The 21031-nt window shown below is 41.1% G+C and overlaps 1 protein-coding gene across 13 annotated transcripts in view, besides 4 other annotated features; it reads left to right on the forward strand.

Annotated features, from left to right (window-relative positions):
* AVL9 (AVL9 cell migration associated) overlaps positions 1 to 21031 on the forward strand; it is a 93238-nt gene that overhangs the window by 1851 nt on the left and 70356 nt on the right. The window lies entirely within an intron of this gene.
* Positions 9218 to 9307: an enhancer, noted in NCBI's record as "active region_25827". NCBI's record gives its function as "activates an Ori minimal core promoter by ATAC-STARR-seq in GM12878 lymphoblastoid cells {active_cell/tissue: GM12878}" and the evidence as "EXISTENCE:reporter gene assay evidence [ECO:0000049][PMID:35858748]".
* Positions 15805 to 16379: an enhancer, noted in NCBI's record as "OCT4-NANOG hESC enhancer chr7:32552756-32553330 (GRCh37/hg19 assembly coordinates)". NCBI's record gives its function as "activates a minimal SCP1, AML or CMV promoter by ChIP-STARR-seq in naive H9 embryonic stem cells {active_cell/tissue: H9 hESC(naive)}" and the evidence as "EXISTENCE:reporter gene assay evidence [ECO:0000049][PMID:30033119]".
* Positions 16934 to 17558: an enhancer, noted in NCBI's record as "OCT4-NANOG hESC enhancer chr7:32553885-32554509 (GRCh37/hg19 assembly coordinates)". NCBI's record gives its function as "activates a minimal SCP1, AML or CMV promoter by ChIP-STARR-seq in primed H9 embryonic stem cells {active_cell/tissue: H9 hESC(primed)}" and the evidence as "EXISTENCE:reporter gene assay evidence [ECO:0000049][PMID:30033119]".
* Positions 18933 to 18982: an enhancer, noted in NCBI's record as "active region_25828". NCBI's record gives its function as "activates an Ori minimal core promoter by ATAC-STARR-seq in GM12878 lymphoblastoid cells {active_cell/tissue: GM12878}" and the evidence as "EXISTENCE:reporter gene assay evidence [ECO:0000049][PMID:35858748]".

Raw genomic sequence — 21031 nt, forward strand, 5'->3', positions numbered from 1 at the left:
AGCGAAAAAAAAAGTTTTGGAAAGTGTGTGTTACATGCATAAGTCTTAGAATGACTGGTCTAGAATCTGTTCTTTATAACCTGTACATCAGGTGTTTTCAGAGGCTTTAATTAAAGTATGTAAGATTTGCCCCAGGATAGATTAATCAGCTACCTAATTCTCCACTTTAACTATTTTACTTCCAGGTGTAAATTAAAGGTGCATGGCTCATTGAGTTGTGACTCTGACTTAACACGGTTTTAACTTGTGTGAGGGTACTTAGACTGCTCTTCCAAGTATTCAAAATTGCCGTGGGTCATGTTGACCATTAGTTCTTTTTTTTTTTTTTTTTCTTCAGATGGAATCTCACTCTCTCACCCAGGCTGGAGTGCAGTGGAGCTCGGCTCACTACAAGCTCTGCCTCCTGGGTTCACACCATTCTCCTGCCTCAGCCTCCCGAGTAGCTGGGACTACAGGCGCCCGCCACCGCGCCCGGCTAATTTTTTGTATTTTTAGTAGAGACGGGGTTTCACAATGTTAGCCAGGATGGTCTCGATCTCCTTACCTCGTGATCCGCCCGCCTCGGCCTCCCAAAGTGCTGGGATTACAGGCGTGAGCCACCACGCCCAGTCATGACCATTAGTTCTAAATGTGCGCTGAGATTGTGCATAGGGAAGATTCCTATACTTGGTCGTAATTTGTAACTTTTAAATAGAAGTGACTGAAGTAAAACCTTTGTTTTAAAAGTGATGCCTTTCAGCAGTCCGCTTGGTTAAGCATGATAACTTTGTCATTTGACATGGACCTCAAAGTAAAAGCCATCTTCTAATACTGCTGTGTTGAAGACCCAAAACTAGGCTTGTGGAAAATGTTAGTTCATTTTGTTTCTAGCACTTTTTCCACCTTTGAAGTCCTCAGATTTTTTTTTTTTTTTTTTTTTTTTGAGACGGAGTCTTGTTCTGTCACCCAGGCTGGAGTTCAGTGCAGTGGCGCGATCTCCACTCACTGCAACTTTCACCTCCTGGGTTCAAGTGATTCTCCTGCCTCAGCCTCCCAAGTAGCTGGGATTACAGGCATGCACCACCGTACCTGGCTAATTTTTTATATTTTTGGTAGAGACGGGGTTTCACCATGTTGGTCAGGCTGGTCTAGAACTCCTGACCTCAAGTGATCCACCCGCCTTGGCCTCCCAAAGTACTGGGATTACAGGCATCAGGCCAGATGTATTTTAAATGAAAAATTCCTTCATTTGAATTTAAATGAACATCTATTAACTTTATCACTTGATCTTTTTTTTTTTTTCACTTTTATTTGGGTAACTTGTGGAAGTAAATTCTTCTGTAGATAGCGTGTTAGCTTCTAGATGTCATTTTTCTAGTTTACTGATATACTTAACATTTAGAACATTTTAAGTGATTTTTTTGAGTTCTACCATAACATTTAAAGTTGTTTCAAAATATTTACTCATTTCAACTTTTTACTGAATTGTTTAAAATTTAATATTTAACAAGGGATAATAATTAACAAGGGATAATTTAACATTTAACAAGGGATACTAAGTGTGGCCGGGTGCAGTAGCTCATGCCTGTAATCCTAACACTTTGGGAGGCCGAGGCGGGTGGATCACCTGAGGTGAGGAGTTCGAAACCAGCCTGGACAACACGGTGAAACCCCGCCTCTACTAAAAATACAAAATTAGCTGCGCGTGGTGGCACATGCCTGTGATCCCAGCTACTTGGGAGGCTGAGGCAGGAGATTTGCTTGAATCTGGGAGGCGGAGGTTACAGTGAGCGAAGATCTGCCTACTGCACTCCAGCCTGGGCGACAATGAGTCCCTGTCTCAAAACGAAACAAAACAAAAATTTATCTGACATTAGACCCTTTGGCATGAAATAATTTATGGATACCTTCTCTGTAGTAAATTGGCTTGTTATAGATTGTGTATTCCAGAGTTTTGTTTGTTCCAATATATAAATTATACTTGTCGGACTACCAAAATTTTTTGCTAAGTAGCATCAAATATATATCACATTAACTCTGTTTTTTTTTTTCATAAACAGGTTAGAACTTTTTTAACTACTCAAGTTAAAAGGGAATAGGTTATTTTCCAAAGTGATGTCATAAAAAGTTGAAATAATTACTTAATTTTTGGCCACTTTTCTGATAGTTTATTGTTTTGTATACATAGCTAGCAGTTTTAAGTCTTAAGTAAACTGGATTTACCAAACTGTATTTCTAATACAAAAAAGGCAGAATAACAATTTTTTTTTTTAATTATACTTTAAGTTCTGGGATACATGTGCGAAACATTCGGGTTTGTTATATAGGTATACATGTGCCATGGTGGTTTGCTGCATCCATCAACCAGTCATCTAGATTTTAAGCCCCATATGCATTAGGTATTTGTCCTAATGCTTTCCCTCCCCTTGCCTCCCATCCCCCAACAGGCACCAGTCTGTGATGTTCCCCTCCCTGTGTCCATGTGTTCTCATTGTTCAACTCCCACTTATGAGTGAGAACATGTGGTGTTTGGTTTTGTGTTCCTGTGTTAGTTTGCTGAGAATGATGGTTTCCAGCTTCATCCATATCTCTGCAAAGGACATGAACTCATTCTTTTTCATGGCTGCATAGTATTCCATGGTGTGTATGTACCACATTTTCTTTATCCAGTCTATCATTGATGGGCATTTGGGTTGGTTCCAAGTCTTTGCTATTGTGAATAGTGCTGCAATAAACGTGTCTGTGTGTGTCTTTATAGTAGAATGATGTATAATCCTTCGGGTATATACCCAGTAGTGGGGTTGCTGGGTCAAATGGTATTTCTGGTTCTAGATCCTTGAGGAATCACCACACTGTCTTCCACAATGATTGAACTAATTTACACTTCCATCAATAGTGTAAAAGCATTCCTATTTCACATCCTCTCCAGCATCTGTTGTTTCCTGACATTTTAATGATCACCATTCTAACTGGCATGAGATGGTATCTCATGGTTTTGATTTGCATTTCTCTAATGACCAATGATGATGAGCTTTTTTTCATATGTTTATTGGCTGCACAGATATCTTTTGAGAAGTGTCTGTTCATATCCTTCGCCCACTTTTTGATGGGGTTGTTTTTTTTCTTATAAATTTGTTTAAGTTCCTTGTAGAGTCTGGATATTAGGCCTTTGTCAGATGGGTAGATTGCAAAAATTTTCTCTCATTCCATAGGTTGCCTGTTCACTCTAATGCTAGTTTCTTTGGTTTAATTAGAGCTCTTTAGTTTTTTTTTAATTTAAGCTCTTTAGTTTAATTAGATCCCATTTGTCAATTTTGTCTTTTGTTGCAATTGCTTTTGGTGTTTTAGTTACGAAGTCTTTGCCATGCCTATATCCTGAATGGTATTGCCTAGGTTTTCTTCTGGGGTTTTTATGGTTTTAGGTGTTAGTTTAAGTCTTTAATCCATCCTCTGTTAATTTTTGTATAAGGTGTAAGGAAGGGGTCTAGTTTCAGTTTTCTGCATATGGCTTGCCTGTTTTCCCAGCACCAGTTATTAAATAGGGAATCTTTTCCCCATTGCTTATTTTGTCAGGTTTGTCAAAGAGCAGATGGCTGTAGATGTGTGGTGTTATTTGTGAGACCTCTGTTCTGTCCCGTTGGTCTATATGTCTAAAAAGCAGAAGTATAAAAGAGCTAGAACTAATCTTAACACTAGTTCCACCAGTGAGTAAAGCAACCAGCAGCAGTGAAGAAAATGGCAGATTTTCCTGTTGGTGTGAGTGGACTGGTCACAAGAAAGTCTCCATGGGGTAGCAGAATGTTGCATTGCAAATTTAGAAATGGGTTGATATTAGGGGGATTGTTTATGTTGGAGTGCTACAACTATACTCAAGCCCTGAGTGATTCAGGTTTTGGTGACAGATGACTCACTGACAAGCCTTTTTTGGCAACTGCTATTAATGAAATCCTGTGGTGACAATAATGAAACATTTGGGAGGGTTTGTTTGATTCTTGTTGCAATAAGTAGTTCTTTGGAACAAGAAAGAAGAAAACTGAAGGGTTAGCAGTTAGGGAAGAATAACCTTTTAAGATTCTTTTTAGCTGCTAGTTTTACAGAAACTTTGTTCTGAAACAAGATTGCATTTTCTGGCCCTTCACTGCACTTTTATTTCTTCAACTTTAATATTTTGGTAGATGGTTTTTCCTGATTTTGGCCATGCTTTTTGTATATGCTGAAATTATGAAAATCTCTGACTTAGCAGGGCTGCAGCATTGACAGAACAATGGAATAGTTTTCATTCAGGCTTTGGCATTGTGGCTAAGCGGAGTGGGTGTCAACTTGTGTACTAGAACTTTGAAATATCAGGAAGATTCCTTTGTTCTCTTATGGGTCCTCCCAGCTAGCAAGAATGTGCCTAATTTCTTTCTTTGGCTTAAGCCTTTGATCCCTAGTAAAATACTTATACACCATGAGTAATCATCTACTTCATGTCATTGATATGATTCAGATCCTTTGCTGAATGTAGATTTTTGCTAAAGGGAAGACTGCAGAAGGGCCCTAATCTACTAGGGATGGACAACAGAAAGATGCAGACACATAGGGAGAAGAGCCTACTTACCTACTTAATTTTAAGACTGCTCCTTTTTTATATGGATTAAGAACTCAGGTTCTCCCTAGGATATTTTTAGAGGATATTATCTAAGCTGATATTTTTGGCAGTTTTTAAATCATATTTCAGTATTTTTGAAAATAACATTTATGATAAAAAAAAAATATGTACTGGCCAGGCACAGTGGCTCATGTCTGTAATCCCAGCACTTTGGGAGGCCAAGATGGGAAGATCGCTTGAGCCCAGGAGTTCGAGACCAGCCTGGGCAACATAGGGAGACCTCATCTTTGCCAAAAAGTAAAAAAATTAGCCAGGTTTGGAGGTGCATGCCTGTAGTCCCAGCTACTTGGGAGGCTGGTGTGAGTGCACTGGTCACAAAAAAGTGAAGCAGGAGTATCACTTGAGCCCAGCAGGTCGAAGCTGCAGTGAGCCGAGATGGCACCACTGCACTCCAGCCTGGGTGAGAGAGTAAAACCCTTTCTCAAAAAAAAAAAAAAAAAGAAAGAAAAGGTATCAAACCATAATCATGTTTCATGGCCTACCTTTTTCATGTGAAATATACCATTAATATTTTTCTGTATTAGTAAATAATTGAATTATATTTTAAAATTGCTAAATAGTATTTTGTAGAAATACTTTTATTTAACTGATCTCCTTTTTAGATACTTAGGTGGCATTCTAATTTTTCACTATTTTGAATAGCGCTGCAAAGAACATCCTTGTGGCTTTTTGCACCTTTTCTCATAAGTATAGAGACTTCATTGTAGCCATTTTTTTGGTGAAGTTTGTATTAAAATGGATTTTGAAACAGAACTTACTGAACACAATTTAAGTTACTCTGGGTGACTCTCTTCAGAGCAAATGTCACTCATACTGTGGCATTCTCCGTTTAACATAGAGTGATTTGCACGTGGCTCTGACTTTGTTGGGCCCTAGCCGGCCAGACAGAGAGGTGACAGATATGTTAGTAATTATTTCCCAATGTCAATACTATCCATAGTGATGGTGGTGTTTTCCGCTTCCCTTTATTTGATGCTTTTCTTCCATTGATTGGGAGACCACATCTACTGAATCTGTTGTGTGAAATAAAATGACTCAGTCATGGGTTTTGAAAGGAAACCTAAAGCCTTCTTGGTATACTGTCAAGAGCTTTATAATAACTGGTTTTGCTGATAGATGTTTTTTTCATTTGTTTCTGGTTCTTGGCAGTTTTGTAGGTAATTAAGTTGTCAGAAGTGTGACTTCTGAATAAACTCTGGGTGTTCATTTAGATTTCAAATATGGGCCAGGTGCGGTGGCTCACAACTGTAAATCCCAGCACTTTGGGAGGCCGAGGCAGGTGGATCACTTGAGGCCCGGAGTTCGAGCCCAGCCTGGCCAACATGGTGAAACCCCCATCTCTACTAAAAGATATATATATATATCTATATATATAGATATAGATATAGAGAGATATATATATATACACACACACACACACACACACACACACACACAAATTAGCCGGGCTTGGTGGCACGTGCCTGTAGTCCCAGCTACTCGGGAGGCTGAGGCAGGAGAATCGCTTGAACCTGGGAGGCAGAGGTTGCAGTGAGCTGAGATCTTGCCATTGCACTCCAGCCTGGGACAGAGCAAGACTCCGTCTCAAGGGAAAAAAAAAAAAAAAACTAGATTTGAAATATGGCACTCTGCACTTGTGCCTTTCATCACATCACTGTGCTCATTGTCACAGGGTATGCTGAGTGTTCATATATGTGCACATGGCTACAAGGTTCTTTTTTTTTTTGTTTCGAGACGGAGTCTCACTCTGCCACCCAGGCTGGAGTGCAGTAAAATGATCTTCGTTCACTGCATCCTCCACCTCCGGGGTACAAGCAATTCTCCTGCCTCAGCCTCCCGAGTAGCTGGGATTACAGGTGTGCACCACCACACCCGGCTATGTTTTGTATTTTTAGTAGAGTCAGGGTTTCACCCTGTTGGCCAGGCAGGTCTCAAACTCCTGAGCTCAGATGATCTGCCTGCCTCAGCCTCCCAAAGTGCTGGGATTACAGGCGTAAGCCACCGCACCTGGCCTTTGCAAGATTCTTAATGAAACCCACGTCTGCCCCGTGGCCTTCACTGACGGTATTAGGAATGTGTTAGGCTCCCTTTGGTGGGTGTGATGCACTCCCAGAAATTATAATATCTTTATTGCCTCATGAAATTTCAATATTGAAATGAAGAAAATTGAAATGTTAAACATGAATTGATGTATAAAAGATTGCCAGGATAAAGTTCATTAACATTTCAATTAAATACATTGATTTAATTTAATAAATCAATTGATTTGATCATTTGTTGGGAAAGTTCTAATTTTTTTCCTGTAAGAAAAATGGTTTTTATAGCTTTGATGACATCTTTGTATATATTTTCAGGAACCTGGAGATAATGTTCCATTTATATCATCTCATTCAGAAAACCAGTCTTTATCATTACACCTTATGTTTTGTACAAATCGTTGTCTTATCCTCTAGCAGAGGATCTTTATATACAATATTTCTTTTTTTTATACTTACAGCTCTGATAAATTCTCTCTTATCTCTTTTACCATATGAGAATCAAGATGTAAGTTTGGACCTAATTGTCATTAGGTGTGTAAGCTGGGGCAAGTTGCCTAATGTTTATGGACTTCAGTTTCTTCATCTATAAAATGAGAGTTTTAAAGTAGGTGACTGCTAAGATTATTTCCACTTCTATGATTCTAAGATGAAATTAGCAAACATTTGCTGAATACCTGTCATCAGAGGCTACATTCAGAAACATGCCCAGGACATTCCAGGACAGGCAGAAGTAATATTTAATGATAGCAATCTGAATAGAGGAACTTTCTGGGATGGTGAAAAATCTGTGCATTGATGAGGTATTTGCCCATGAATGTGTGGATCCTCAAAACCTATGAACTCTGTACACTAAGATTTTTTATTTTATTTTATTTATTTTTTTGAGACGGAGTCTCGCTCTGTCACCCAGGCTGGAGTGCGGTGGCATGATCTCAGCTCGCTGCAACCTCCACCTCCTGGGTACAAGCGATTCTCCTGCCTTAGCCTCCCATGTAGCTGGGATTACAAGAGTATGCCACCATGCCCCGCTAATTTTTGTATTTTTAGTAGGAACAGGGTTTCACCATGTTGGCCAGGCTGGTCTCGAACTCCTGACCTCAAGTGATCTGCCAACCTTGGCTTCCCAAAGTGCTGGGATTACAGGTGTGAATCACTGCACCCGGCCTGATCTTTTTATTTTATACTTCGTAATATATATCAAATCTAATTTAAAAGTTTTAGAAAATAAACGCTTCGGCTGGGCGTGGTGGCTTACGCCTGTAATCCCAGCACTTTGGGAGGCCAAGGCGGGCAGATCACAAGGTCAGGAGTTTGAGACCAGCCTGGCCAACATGGTGAAACCCCATCTCTACTAAAAATACCAAAATTAGCCAGGCATGTAGCAGGTGTCTGTAATCCCAGCTACTCGGGAGGCTGAGGCACAAGAATCACTTGAAACCGGAAGGCGGAGGTTGCAGTGAGCTGAGATCACGCCACTATACTCCAGCCTAGGCAACAAGAGCAAAACTCCGTCTCAAAAAAAAAAAAGAAAGAAAGAAACCCTTCTACTTTGTAGCAAATCACAAAACCCTACATTCTTTAGTACTTTTGAAAGAGGCTTTTCAAAATTGCCATTTAATTAATATGATTTTCTTTCTTTAAATTGCTTATACTAGTACAGAGGTAGGAGATATAGTGACAGTTCTCCACTTGCGTTCTTTAATTTTGAGACTTACAAGTATGTAATTTAGAAAAAAAAGAGTAACTCAAACAATAGCTCTGCTGTTTTTTTATATTCTATTTTCCACATACTGTTCTAAGCAAACATTGTGTCTTAGAGAAATAAAAGCCACTACTTAATATAGGAACCCAGACCTCTCTTGGATGCTCATATATATATTTATGTACTGAGAGCATAAATTTCTATTAAGTAGAGTCATTTTCTTCACTCTTTGTAAGCAACAGCAAAGATTCTAAGTCCGTAAAGTGTGCCCTAAACATAATCTCTGCTTGTTATGAACTATTTTTAAAAACTATCCATGAGGGTCACCATGCAGTTCATTATTGTAATTCTATGAAGATGTATATTTTTCTAATTTTTTTCCTGTACATACATATGATAAAGTTTAGTTTATAAGCTAGGCACAAGAGATTAACAAAAAAATTTTTTTAATTTTTAATTTAAAATGTTTCGACTTTTTAATTTTAAAAATTTTAAACTTTTTAAACAAATTTTTTTAAACATTTAGAAATCAGTCATAAGAGATTAACAAAAATAACTAGTAGTAAAATAGAATATTTATAACAGTATGCCAACATCACTACTCTTGGGCTTTGGGGTCATTATTAAGTAAAATAAGAATTACTCAAACACAAGCATCTTGATACTGCTGCAGTCAATCCGATAACTAAGATGGCTGTTCAGTGACTAATGAGAGGGTAGCCTGTACAGCGAGGATAAGCTGGTTGATGGGATGATTCACAAGTCAAGTGGAATGGAGAGGGACAGTGTAAGATTTCATCATGCTCCTCAGAATGGCACACAATTTAAGACTTATGAATTGTTTATTACTGAAACTTTCCATTTAAAATTTTCAGAATGTGGTTGACCATGACTAACTGGAGCCATTGAAAATGAAACTGGGCAAGGTGCAGTGGCTCACACCTGTAATCCCAGCACTTCGGGAGGCCAAACGGGAGGATTACCTGAGGCCACAAGTTTGAGACCAGCCTGGACAACATAGACCCTGTCTCTATTTAAAAAAAAAAAAAGAAAGTGAAACTGCAGGTCAGGGGGACTATTGTAATGAAGAAAATACCAATCCTTCACAAACTCTGTCGGAAAACAGAAGAGGAGGGAACATTTCTCAACTTATTTTATGAGGCCAGCATTACATTAATACCAAAGCCAGACAAATTATTATAAGAAAAAAACAAAGATCAATATCCCTCATGAACATTGATGCAAAAATCCTTAACTAGATAGTTGCAAAAAAAATCCAGTAATATATAAAAGGAATAATACATCATAACCAAATGGGGTTTGTCACAGGTTGGTTTCATATTTGAAAATATCCTTTCACAATATTAATAAATAATAGGGTAAAGCTATATGGTCCTCTACAGTTGGCAAATGGGAAGGGAAGGTAGAAGGGGAAAGCTCCTGGGGTTTTTATGTATATCCTTGTCCCTCCCACCCAGAATCACAACTTGTCAGAATTCACTTTTCAAAGTTAGGCCTTCTTGATAGGCACATTCTTTAAAAGAAAATGTTTAATGTGAAACATCATACATACACAGAAAAGTGCTTCCCTTCCCAATATATAGATCACACTGATTGATCACAATTGTGTGTAATTACCTCACAAGTCTAGAAATATTAATATTGACAGCACCCCAGAAGCGACTCTTGTGTCCTTTCCTACTTTTCTTTTTCCTCAACGCTAACCACCCTCTCCACTTGTAACACCATAGATTACTCTGTTTCTTCACTTTATGGAAATATAATCATATATTATGTGTGCTTTTGTGTTCGGCTTCTTTTGTTCAGCATTATGCTTGTGGAATTCATCTATGCCGTTGCATATTCCTGTGGTTTCATTTCTTCTCATAACTGTGTAGTGTTCCCTTTGGTGATAAACCACAATTTATTTATTCAACTGTTGACAGGCATTCGGTTGTTTCATCATGGGCATTACAAATAATGCCATCATGAGCATTTTTTAGATGTCTCTTGGTGCACGTGTGCAAATCATTTTGTTGGATATATACTTAAGAGTGGAATTGATGGATTATAGGGAATACCTGTCTTCGCTTTTAGTAGATATCAAATTGTTTTCCGAAACAGTGGAACCAATTAACTTTATCACTGGTGTTCTTCATGCTCCTTGCCAACACTGGGCATTGTCCATCCTTTTAATTACAGTAATTCTGGTGGGGTATGTAGTGTCATCTCATTATTGTTTTACATCACATTTTTTGATTTGTTATGAGGCTGGACACTTTTTTATAGGTCTGCTGGTCATTGGGCTATCCTCTTTTTGTGACGCACATGCTCCAAATCTTATCCTGTTTTTCAATTGGATTGTCTTTTCTTTATTTGTTGAAGTTCTTTTTATATTATTGAAAAAAGCCATTTAAGACTTATATGTGCTGCAAATTCTTTTCCCTCTCTGTTGCTTGCCTTTTCAGTATCTTAATGGTGTCTTTTTTACACCATAATTGAAATGTGGTCAACTATATTAGTCTTTCCCATTGTGGTTAGTGCTTTTTAAATGCCATTTAAGACATTTTTACTAATTTGATGTCCTGAAGATATTTTTCTGTATTACCTTCTAGATCAGTGTTGTCTAATAAAAATACTAAGTGAGCTGCATACATAATTTAAAATTTGTAGTATCCACATTAAGAGAGCAAAATAATCAGATAAAACTAATTTTAATATTGTGTTTTTTAACTCACTCCAAATTAGTATTTCAAAGTTTCAATATAAAAATTGAGATATTTCACATTGTTTTTTCCTACTAAGTAATTAAAATCAAATGCAAATTTTACTTAATAGCACATCTCGAATGTTCAGTATCCATACATGGGCAGAGCAGTTCTAGAAGATTTATTGTTTTTACCCTTTCACATTATATCTTATGTTCCACCTGAAAATGATTTTTTGAATGAATTGTGAGGTAGAAATCATTACTTACTCATTTGGGCATCCAGTTGCCTTAAGACCACTTTATTGAATATAAAGACAGTCCTATCTTCACTGTTCTGTTATGCTACTTTGGTATTAAAGTGTCCACATATGTGTGTCTTGTTCCTGTATTCTGTGACATTTGTCTATTTTTCTATGCTTGCACCAGTATTACACTATCTTATTATAATTTTTGTAATAAGTTTTGATACCTGGTAAAGAAGAATTTCTTCTTAGGAGAGTCTTGGCTACTCTTGACCCTTTACATTTCCATATAAATTATAATCAGCTTGCCAGGTTCTGCAAAAATATCTTTTGGAGTTTTGATTGAGATTGTATTGAATCTAAGGATCAGTTTGAGGACAGCACTTCTTTTTATATTATCTGTTCATCAGATGCTCTCATCTGGGTAGGATCTGGACATGCTGTGCCTTCCAGACTCTGCTACCTTTCCCTTTCTGGCGTGGAAGCAGCTAACTGAGAGGGAGGCTCAACCCTCAGCTTTGATGAGAGCCCTGGAGGGCCCCCTCCCTCTTTTTGCAGGAGACTTTCCTTAAGGGCAGAAAGTCCCTGGCAAGATTCTGGAATTCTAGGATGAAGAAAAATGAAGTCTGGGAGGAACCAGACCCAAAAAAACACAATAAAAAACAAAACTCTGTACCCTGTATCTATATAGCAGGGGCCTTGTACCCTGTGTGTGAGTTCTCAGGGGTCACCTGTTCTTGCATTGACTTGAACCTAGGGCACATCAACACAACTTACCCTACTTGAAAACAGATTAACGCTTTTTACTCCTCACTCTCCTCTTTCTCTGTCATCAGTCCTATAGTTTGCTTTGTGGTTTCAGACCAAGTTCCATTGAGAAACCAGTTCCAAAGGTAGAGGCTTGTATATCCTAGCTGACTAGACAGGAGAGGAAAGGAACAGACTGTCTTGGCCGGGCGGGCGGATCACTTGAGGTCAGGAGTTTGAGACCAGCTTGGCCAACATAATGAAACCCCATCTCTACTAAAAATACAAAAAATTAGCCAGGCGTGGTGGCGGGCGCCTGTAATCCCAGCTACTCGGGAGGCTGAAGTGGGAGAATCACTTGAACTGAGAGGTGGAGGTTGCAGTGAACCAAGATCACACCACTGTACTCCAGCCTGGGCAACAGAGTGAGACTGTCTCAAAAAGAAAAAAAGACTGTCTAGAAAAAGGTAATCTCTAGAATCTGAAGAGGGTTAACAAAATGAGGATTAAGGCAAAATACAGTTAGTAATAAGATAACAAGGAATCTGATCATGGAAAAGGGGTCCTTGTAACTTACTGAGGCTGAATGTTGGTTTACCATCTTACATTTTCTACGTCCATTAAATCAGCCTTCTGGGAATCCACAGTCCTGGCAATTCTGAACTGCCCCAGGAGGAGGGAAGCCATCTCTCTAGGGTGAGATAGGTGAGCCATCAGGTCTGGTGGTGGGAGTCCACAGTCCTGGCACTTCTGAACTGCCCCAGTAGGAGCGAGCCCATCTCTCCAGGGTGAGATACGTGAGCCGTCAGGTCTGGCTGTGGGAGTCCACAGTCCTGACACTTCTGAACTGCCCCAGTAGGAGGAAAGCCATCTCTCCAAGGTGAGATTTGTGAGCTGTCAGGTCTGGCTGAGAGAATGCACAGTCCTGGCAATTCTGAACTGCCCCAGTATGAGGGAAACCATCTCCCCAGGGTAAGATTTGTGAGCCGTCATGTCTGGCTGTGGGAGTCCACAGTCCTGGCACTTCTGAACTGCCCCAGTATGAGGGAAGCCATCTCTCCAGGGTGAGATTCATGAGCCATCAGGTCTCGTTGGGAGAATCCACAGTCCTGGCACTTCTGAACTGCCCCAGTATGAGGGAAGCCATCTCTCCAGGGTAAGATTTGTGAGCCGTCAGGTCTGGTTGTAGGAGTCCACAGTCCTGGCACTTCTGAACTGCCCCATTATGAGGGAAACCATCTCCCCAGGGTAAGATTTGTGAGCCGTCAGGTCTGGTTGTGGGAGTCTACAGTCCTGGCACTTCTGAACTGCCCCAGTATGAGGGAAACCATCTCCCCAGGGTAAGATTTGTGAGCCGTCAGGTCTGGGTGTAGGAGTCCACAGTCCTGGCACTTCTGAACTGCCCCAGTATGAGGGAAGCCGTCTCTCCAGGGTGAGATTCATGAGCCATCAGGTCTCGTTGGGAGAATCCACAGTCCTGGCACTTCTGAACTGCCCCAGTATGAGGGAAGCCATCTCTCCAGGGTAAGATTTGTGAGCCGTCAGGTCTGGTTGTGGGAGTCCACAATCCTGGCACTTCTGAACTGCCCCGGTATGAGGGAAACCATCTCCCCAGGGTAAGATTTGTGAGCCGTCAGGTCTGGTTGTGGGAGTCCACAGTCCTGGCACTTCTGAACTGCCCCAGTATGAGGGAAACCATCTCCCCAGGGTAAGATTTGTGAGCCGTCAGGTCTGGTTGTAGGAGTCCACAGTCCTGGCACTTCTGAACTGCCCCAGTATGAGGGAAGCCATCTCTCCAGGGTGAGATTCATGAGCCATCAAGTCTCTTTGGGAGAATCCACAGTCCTGGCAATTCTGAACTGCCCCAGTATGAGGGAAACCATCTCCCCAGGGTAAGATTTGTGAGCCGTCAGGTCTGCTTGTGGGAATCCACAGTCCTGGCACTTCTGAACTGCCCCAGTATGAGGAAAGCAATCTCTCCAGGGTGAGATTTGTGAGCCATCAGGTCTGGTTGTGGGAGTCCACAGTCCTGGAAATTCTGAACTGCCCCAGTAGGAGGGAAGCCATCTCTCTAGGATAAGATGCAGGGGTGTACTAGGTTGTGGGGATTAGAGTACAGGGGACTAGCAAGAGGGTCTATGAGGAGGGCGAGGGGGAAAGATAGGAGGACACTTGGAAAGGGGTGCCTGACGAGCAGGGCGGTGGCATACGGACGCTCTGGAATTAACAGAGGAAGAGCTGGGCAGGGAGTTCCGGGAGGTAGGGTGCTGGGAAGGGGCGACATTAGTCAGCTGGGGGAAACAGGTACGCTGGAAAACTGAACAGCTTGGACGGTCCTGGAGAGGAGGCTGAGGGCAGGAAGTTTGAGGAGTAAGGGGAGGAAGAAGGGCTGGAAGACGAGAGCCAGAAGGAACAGAAAGAAATGGAGGCCAGGGTTGAGGCCGAGAAATTGGAGGTAGCTTTCTGGTCATTTTTCCAAATGAGTGCTGTAGTAACTCACTTGTCCAAACGAGTCAGAATGAATAACTGAGATGTGCTGAGACCGACTCCAGCATTTATCTCCTCAGGACATTCCATCACAGAATGCCTATTATGAAACATACATTTATCTCCTTAGGACATTTCTTGATGGAATGCCCATTATGAAACATACATGCTCCCTTTTATTCTAGTGAGGAGGCCCCATCAATCAGGGAAATGGTCCCAGTTTCTCAGTTTAAGAGTGGTCATGGGAAGTAGCAAAGAAAATAAATGGATCTGTAATTATTGGTCCTTGTTCTTGGGATACCATGTAGTTTTGCCCCTCCATAGGCAAAGATTGATCAAGGGGCTAACAGAGGCAGGGGCTTGGGGCCTAGGAGAGCAGTTCTGAAGCAGGAATTGGGAAAATGGGAAGTCAGTATCCTAGTCTCTTTTCCTTACTACATTGTTCAAAGCCCTTTCACATCATTTACCTCACTGTGTGAATGCACATGATTAGAGATGTTACGTTATTTTATCGATGAGGACACTAAAGACCAGAAAACGAACTACCAGTAGGCACAAAGCAGGTGGGACTAGAACTTGGCCAGAAAGAGGGCTGGTGGGAGGGAGCACAGAATGGCACAAAGTGCTTACCAGCATCTTTGCCTCCTCCTGTGTCTCTGGACAGGATCTTGTAGGAGGAGCTTAAGAGCAGAACTGTACTTTTCGTAGCTTACCTCGTAGTTCCTGTGGTCCCTTGGTTTGATGCCTTTCTGTTCACTGGAACCAGAAACAAAAGGCCAAAGCTGGTACACTCTCTGCCCATTGAAACTGTGCCCCAAAGAGCTGAAGAAAGCAGTAACAGAAATCTTCGAGCTTGCAGGATGGCAGATAAGAAACAACTTGCTAAAATAAAACTCCCTCCCCTTCTAAGAGAATGAAATTGGCTAAAATTGGTTAAAACTAATATGGCCAATGAATATATGTAGAATGAACTCGCTGATATCACAACCCAAATTTCTACCACATGTTTCATACTGACTCCTCTTGTTTCATACTAACTTCCCCTGAATTTGTGTATGGGATCCATGAGGAGGCATGGAGAGATAACTGTGCACGCCTGAGGGACTTCGCAGATGTTCCCTTTCCTTCTACCAACTACTTGCTAATCCCAGAATCAGCCCCTTAACCTTTTCTAATAAAAGTACTGCCTTAAAGCCAGCACAGGGAGACAGATTTGAGCTGGACTCCTGTCTCCTTGTTGAGTAACCTGCAATGAAAAGCTTTTCTTTTCTCAAAAACCTGGTGTCATAGTATTGGCTTTGTAAACCAAAAATAAAATTCAAAGGCACCCCTGCAACCATCCCAATGGATTCCCTCCTCAGCCAGGGCACCCTAAAATTTAACCAAAAAAGACTGGTTTAGGCCTTGAAGCCAGGTGGGGGTTGAACTTGCTTCATTATACCCTTCCAGCATTACTATCATCACAGACCTTAAGAAACATTTACAGTCTATTCTCTCTAAAGCCTGATACTTGGAGGCTTCATCTGCATGATAAAACCTCCGCAACCCCTTGTCTTCACCCAGACATTCTTTTCTATAGATAAAAACTCTTTCAACCAATTGCCAATCAGAATATGTTTAAGTGTACCTATGACTTGGAAGCCTCCTTCTTTGAGTTGTCCCACCCTTCCAGATCAAACCAATGTAAATCTTAATGTATTGGTGGATGTATTGAAGGGGGCCTGCCCCTCCACACCTGTGGGTATTTCTCGCAAGGTGGAGACGAGAGACTGAGAAAAGAAATAAGACACGGAGACAAAGTATAGAGGACGAAAAGTGGGCCCAGGGGACCAGCGCTCAGCAAGTTAGGACCTGCACCAGCGCTGGTCTCTGAGTTCCCTCAGTATTTATTGATCACTATCTTTACTATCTTGGTGAGGGGAATGTGGTGTAACTATAGGGTGATGGTGGGGAGAGGGTCAGCAGAAAAACATTTGAGCAAAGGAATCTGTGTCATAAATAAGGAAAGGTGTTGTGCCTGGATGTGCACATAGGCTAGTTTTATGTTTAACTTTACATAAACATTTCAGTGCAGTAAAAAGTAACAGAGCAGTATTGCCACCATGATGTCTCACCTCCAGCCATAAGGCGGTTTTCTCCTATCTCAGAATAGAATGTACGCTCGGTTTTACACCAAGTCATTCCATTCCCAGAGACATGCAGGAAACAAATGCCTTCCTCTTATCTCAACTGCATGGAAGTCTTCCTCTTTCACTAATCCTCCTCAGCACTGACCCTTTACAGGTGTCGGGCTGAGGGGCTGTAAGGTCTTTCCCTTCCCACGAGGCCATATCTTAGGCTGTCTCAGTGGGGAGAAACCTGGACAATACCCAGGCTTTCTTGGGCAGGGGTCCCTGCGGCCTTCCACAGTGCATTGTGTCTCTGGTTAATAGAGAATGGAGAATGGCGATGACTTTCACAAAGCATACTGCCTGCAAACACATTTTTAACAAAGCACATCCTGCACAGCCCTGAATTCCTTAAACCTCAGTCAATACTGTCAGGCCTCTGAGCCCAAGCCAAGCCATCGCATCCCCTGTGACTTGCACGTATATGCCCAGATGGCCTAAAGTAACTGAAGAATCACAAAAGAAGTGAAAATGCCCTGCCCCGCCTTAACTGATGACATTCTACCACAAAAGAAGTGTAAATGGCCGGTCCTTGCCTTAACCGATGACATTCCCCCACAAAAGAAGTGAAAATGGCCGGTCCTTGCCTTAAGTGATGACATTACCTTGTGAAAGTCCTTTTCCTGGCTCATCCTGGCTCAGAAACCTTCCTTACTGAGCACCTCGTGACCCCCACTCCTACCCGCCAGAGAACAAACACCCTTTGACCGTAATTTTCCTTTACCTACCCAAATCTTATAAAACAGCCCCACCCCTATCTCCCTTCACTGACTCTCTTTTCGGACTCAGCCCGCCTGCACCCAGGTGATTAAAAGCTTTATTGCTCACACAAAGCCTGTTTGGTGGTCTCTTCACACGGACACGCATGAAAAATACAGCACATGTTTTTGTGAGCACAGGGTTGGGACAAGAGTTACAGATTAACAGCATCTCAAAGCAGAACAATTTTTCTTAGTGCAGATCAAAATGGAGTTTCTTATATCTTCCTTTTTCTCCATAGACACAGTAACAATCTGATCTCTCTTTGTTTTCCCCATAATGTATTATGTCTCCATAAAATGTATAAAAGCAAGCTGGAGCCTAACCACCTTGGGCATGTGTCCTCAGGACCTTCTAAGGATGTGTCACAGGTACGTCTTTAACCTCGGCAAAATAAACTTTCTAAATTGATTCAGACTTGTCTCAAATACTTTTTGGTTTACAAATTGGCAACCGATGAAAGAGACTCTGAGTATAGGTGGCCTCAACCTCTGACAAATCTATTGATATTTAGTACCAGCTTTTAGCTGTCTTTATGGTCGAAACCAACAGGACAATTGGCTGAGAGCTGGGAGCCCTCCTCCCTCCAGAGAATCCTGATCTCCCCAAATTTGGTTGAGATCCAAAGTGTATTTTGCTGTACAACTCCTTTTCTAGAGTTTTACTTGCTTCCAACAAGGAAAGCAAGTTTTCCTGCTTCCATGACAATAGAAGGCAGGTAACTCCTTTCTGGAGTTAGAGCTCACTTCCAACAGAGAAGGCGAATTTGAGTTTTCCTGCTTCTAGAATGGTAGAGAGCAGTCTTCAGCCTGAGACCCATTCCTAGGTAAGTGACTGAATTGGGGTTTCATCTTGGTTAAAGTTATGATGCAGCTGGTCGTAGTTTCTCCTTACTGTTATAGCGCTCAGTAATCATATTGTTGGGTTTTTGTTGTTGTTTGTTCTGGTCTTTCTCCCATCAGATTTGACCAATTCTGCCTGACTTAGTCAAATCTGAATAAAAATTCCAAATTGTAGGGAACAAGGCCTCTCTGAATTAGCTAAAATTCCTTGCTGCTGCAAAAGAAAAAAAAATCAATTTCTGGTTGCTTCCTGTCTTTAAAAAAAAATTGTTCTTTCATTTACTTTTCTCTACCCTATTCCTCCTTCCCCACTTTGCCATACTCAGTACGAAGAAAAATCTAGAGATGACTCAAACCCCTTAAAGAACACAGAACAAAGGCACCACTCACCCCATTTGGGGGTGTTCTGTTTTCTTTGTGGAGTTTCAAGAGTCATGGGCAGATTCTTCTTAGGTCTAAAGTTCTGCTTTCCTGTATTACATTACCTCACCTCTTTGGCTTTTGTGAGTAGCAGAGATTACCTTGTACTGTGAGAGGATTTTACCTTGATGTGTGTACTGGCGGATGAGAGCTACAAAGTTAAAGCTGACTGAGGACAGTTTACAGGAAGCAGTCTTCACTGTTTTGTTTTTTCCACCTAGGAAGTTGTTTAGGATCCTAATTCTAATTCAGAGGTGCATTCTACAGAGTCTTCTCCATTGCCTTTCCTCTCAAAATTAATCTTGATTGGCTTCTCTGGGCATTTGCGTGAGGAACTGAAACTCATTTTCATAGATAAATGAGAGAATGAGTTTCCTCAGCTCCCTAAAGGGCATTTTGCTTCTCCCAGCTGAAAGGCTCCCCTGGATTACTAGGGGCTAAGTGGGAGTGTCTAGTGGGTTGACCCCCAGCAACGTGCAGCAGCCCTACAGGGAATCCCCAACAAAATTAGTTTTAAAAGGCTTGTCCAAGAAATGAATATAGGAGCTGGTCATTCCATGCTTTGAGCCCTCCTGGAGGTGCTAGACCTCTGGAGACAAAAATGACTCAGTGGATAACACGCTATGGAGTCCTGCCAATAACCAGCACACTTCAACCCATTCCACTAAACCCTAGGCCTTTAAAAAAAAAAAAAAAAAGGTGGGAAACAATCTAAGAATGGGAAAAACAAGGAGAATGACTCCCTTTCAGGCACTCTGTTGGTTTTATGGCACCTCTGCTTGCAAGTGTTTGTGTAAAATGGTCTTTATGGTCTTTTTGTGCACAATTACATCAAGGAAATTTCAGAGCCCAAAGGTCAACCTGCAACTATAAGGTTCCTAAGTTATCTATCTCTTTCTTTTCTGCCTGCTTTAAGTCTGCTGTTACTTTTTTGCTGAGATAGAATCCACTGTTTGTATTCAACCATTTCGTTTTTGTTATTGTTAATTGTTTTTGCAAACCAATGAGTTTGTATTAATATCTCCTGGCTAGAGTTCTGAAGTAAAAGCTATAGAATCTTTGTGTGAGGGTGTATGTGTGTGTTTATGTGTACATATGCATATTTTGTTATGTGTTTTGGCCACAGGGACCAAATGTGGCTTAAACTTACAGAGTACTCATAAATAAGCCCAAACGCTTTTCAAGTTCACGTGACAGTAAAATCTTTTTTTCTTTTTCTTTTTCTTTTTTTTTTTTTTGAGACAGAGTCTCACTCTGTTGCCCAGGCTAGAGCGCAGTGGCATGATCTCAGCTCACTGCAAACTCTGTCGCCTGAGTTCAAGCGATTCTCCTTCCTTAGCCTCTCTAGTAGCTGGGATTACAGGTGCCTGCCACTGTGCCTGGATAATTTTTGTAGTTTTAGTAGAGACGGGGTTTCACCATCTTGGCCAGGCTGGTCTTGAACTCCTGACCTCGTGATCCACCCACCTCGGCCTCCCAAAGTGCTGGGATTACAGGCATTAGCCACCACGCCTGGCTGACAGTAAAATCTTTAATCTAGCTTTAAAATTACTTGTAAAGTAATATGAGAAATGTCTTAAGAATTGTCAGCATACATTTTTGTTTGCATTTATTGATCAAGAGATTTCATACTTATCCCTGCTAAATACTATAAGGTGTCAAAATTTGGCATAAGCATTATTAAACTATAAACCCAGCCCAAAACAGAATGATCTTTGCTTGTGTGTTTTTTTTTTGTTTGTTTGTTTTGTTTTGTTTTTTTTTGAAACATAGTCTTGCTTTGTCACCTTGGCTGGAGTGCAGTGGCACGAACTTGGCTCACTGCAACCTCTACCTACCAGGCTCAAGCGATTCTCTGCCTCAGCCTCTTGAGTAGCTGGGACTACAGGCATGTGCCACCATGCCTGGCTAATTTTTTTATTTTTAGTGGAGACGGAGTTTCACCATGTTGGCCAGGCTGGTCTCAAACTCCTGGCATCAAGTGATCGACCCAACTCGGCCTCACAAAGTGCTAGGATTTACACGTGTGAGCCACCGTGCCAGCCGTGCTGTGTAATTTTTGATAAAGAAGACATTGATATTAGTTTAGTGAAAATAACCAAATCTTGAATTATGTGGTAAAATAAACATATATTTAATGTTAAGTTTCTTACTTAGGTAAACACCTGAAATTCACAGACTATAAAATGGTTGACAGGGAAATAACTTTAAATGACGACTATTTGCAGTTTTCATAAATAGGTAAACGATTAAAATAAAATAATTAGTTAAATGTAATGGAATAA

The sequence above is a fragment of the Homo sapiens genome, chromosome 7 (genome assembly GCF_000001405.40).
Source record: "Homo sapiens chromosome 7, GRCh38.p14 Primary Assembly".
Taxonomy (NCBI): Eukaryota; Metazoa; Chordata; class Mammalia; order Primates; family Hominidae; genus Homo; species Homo sapiens.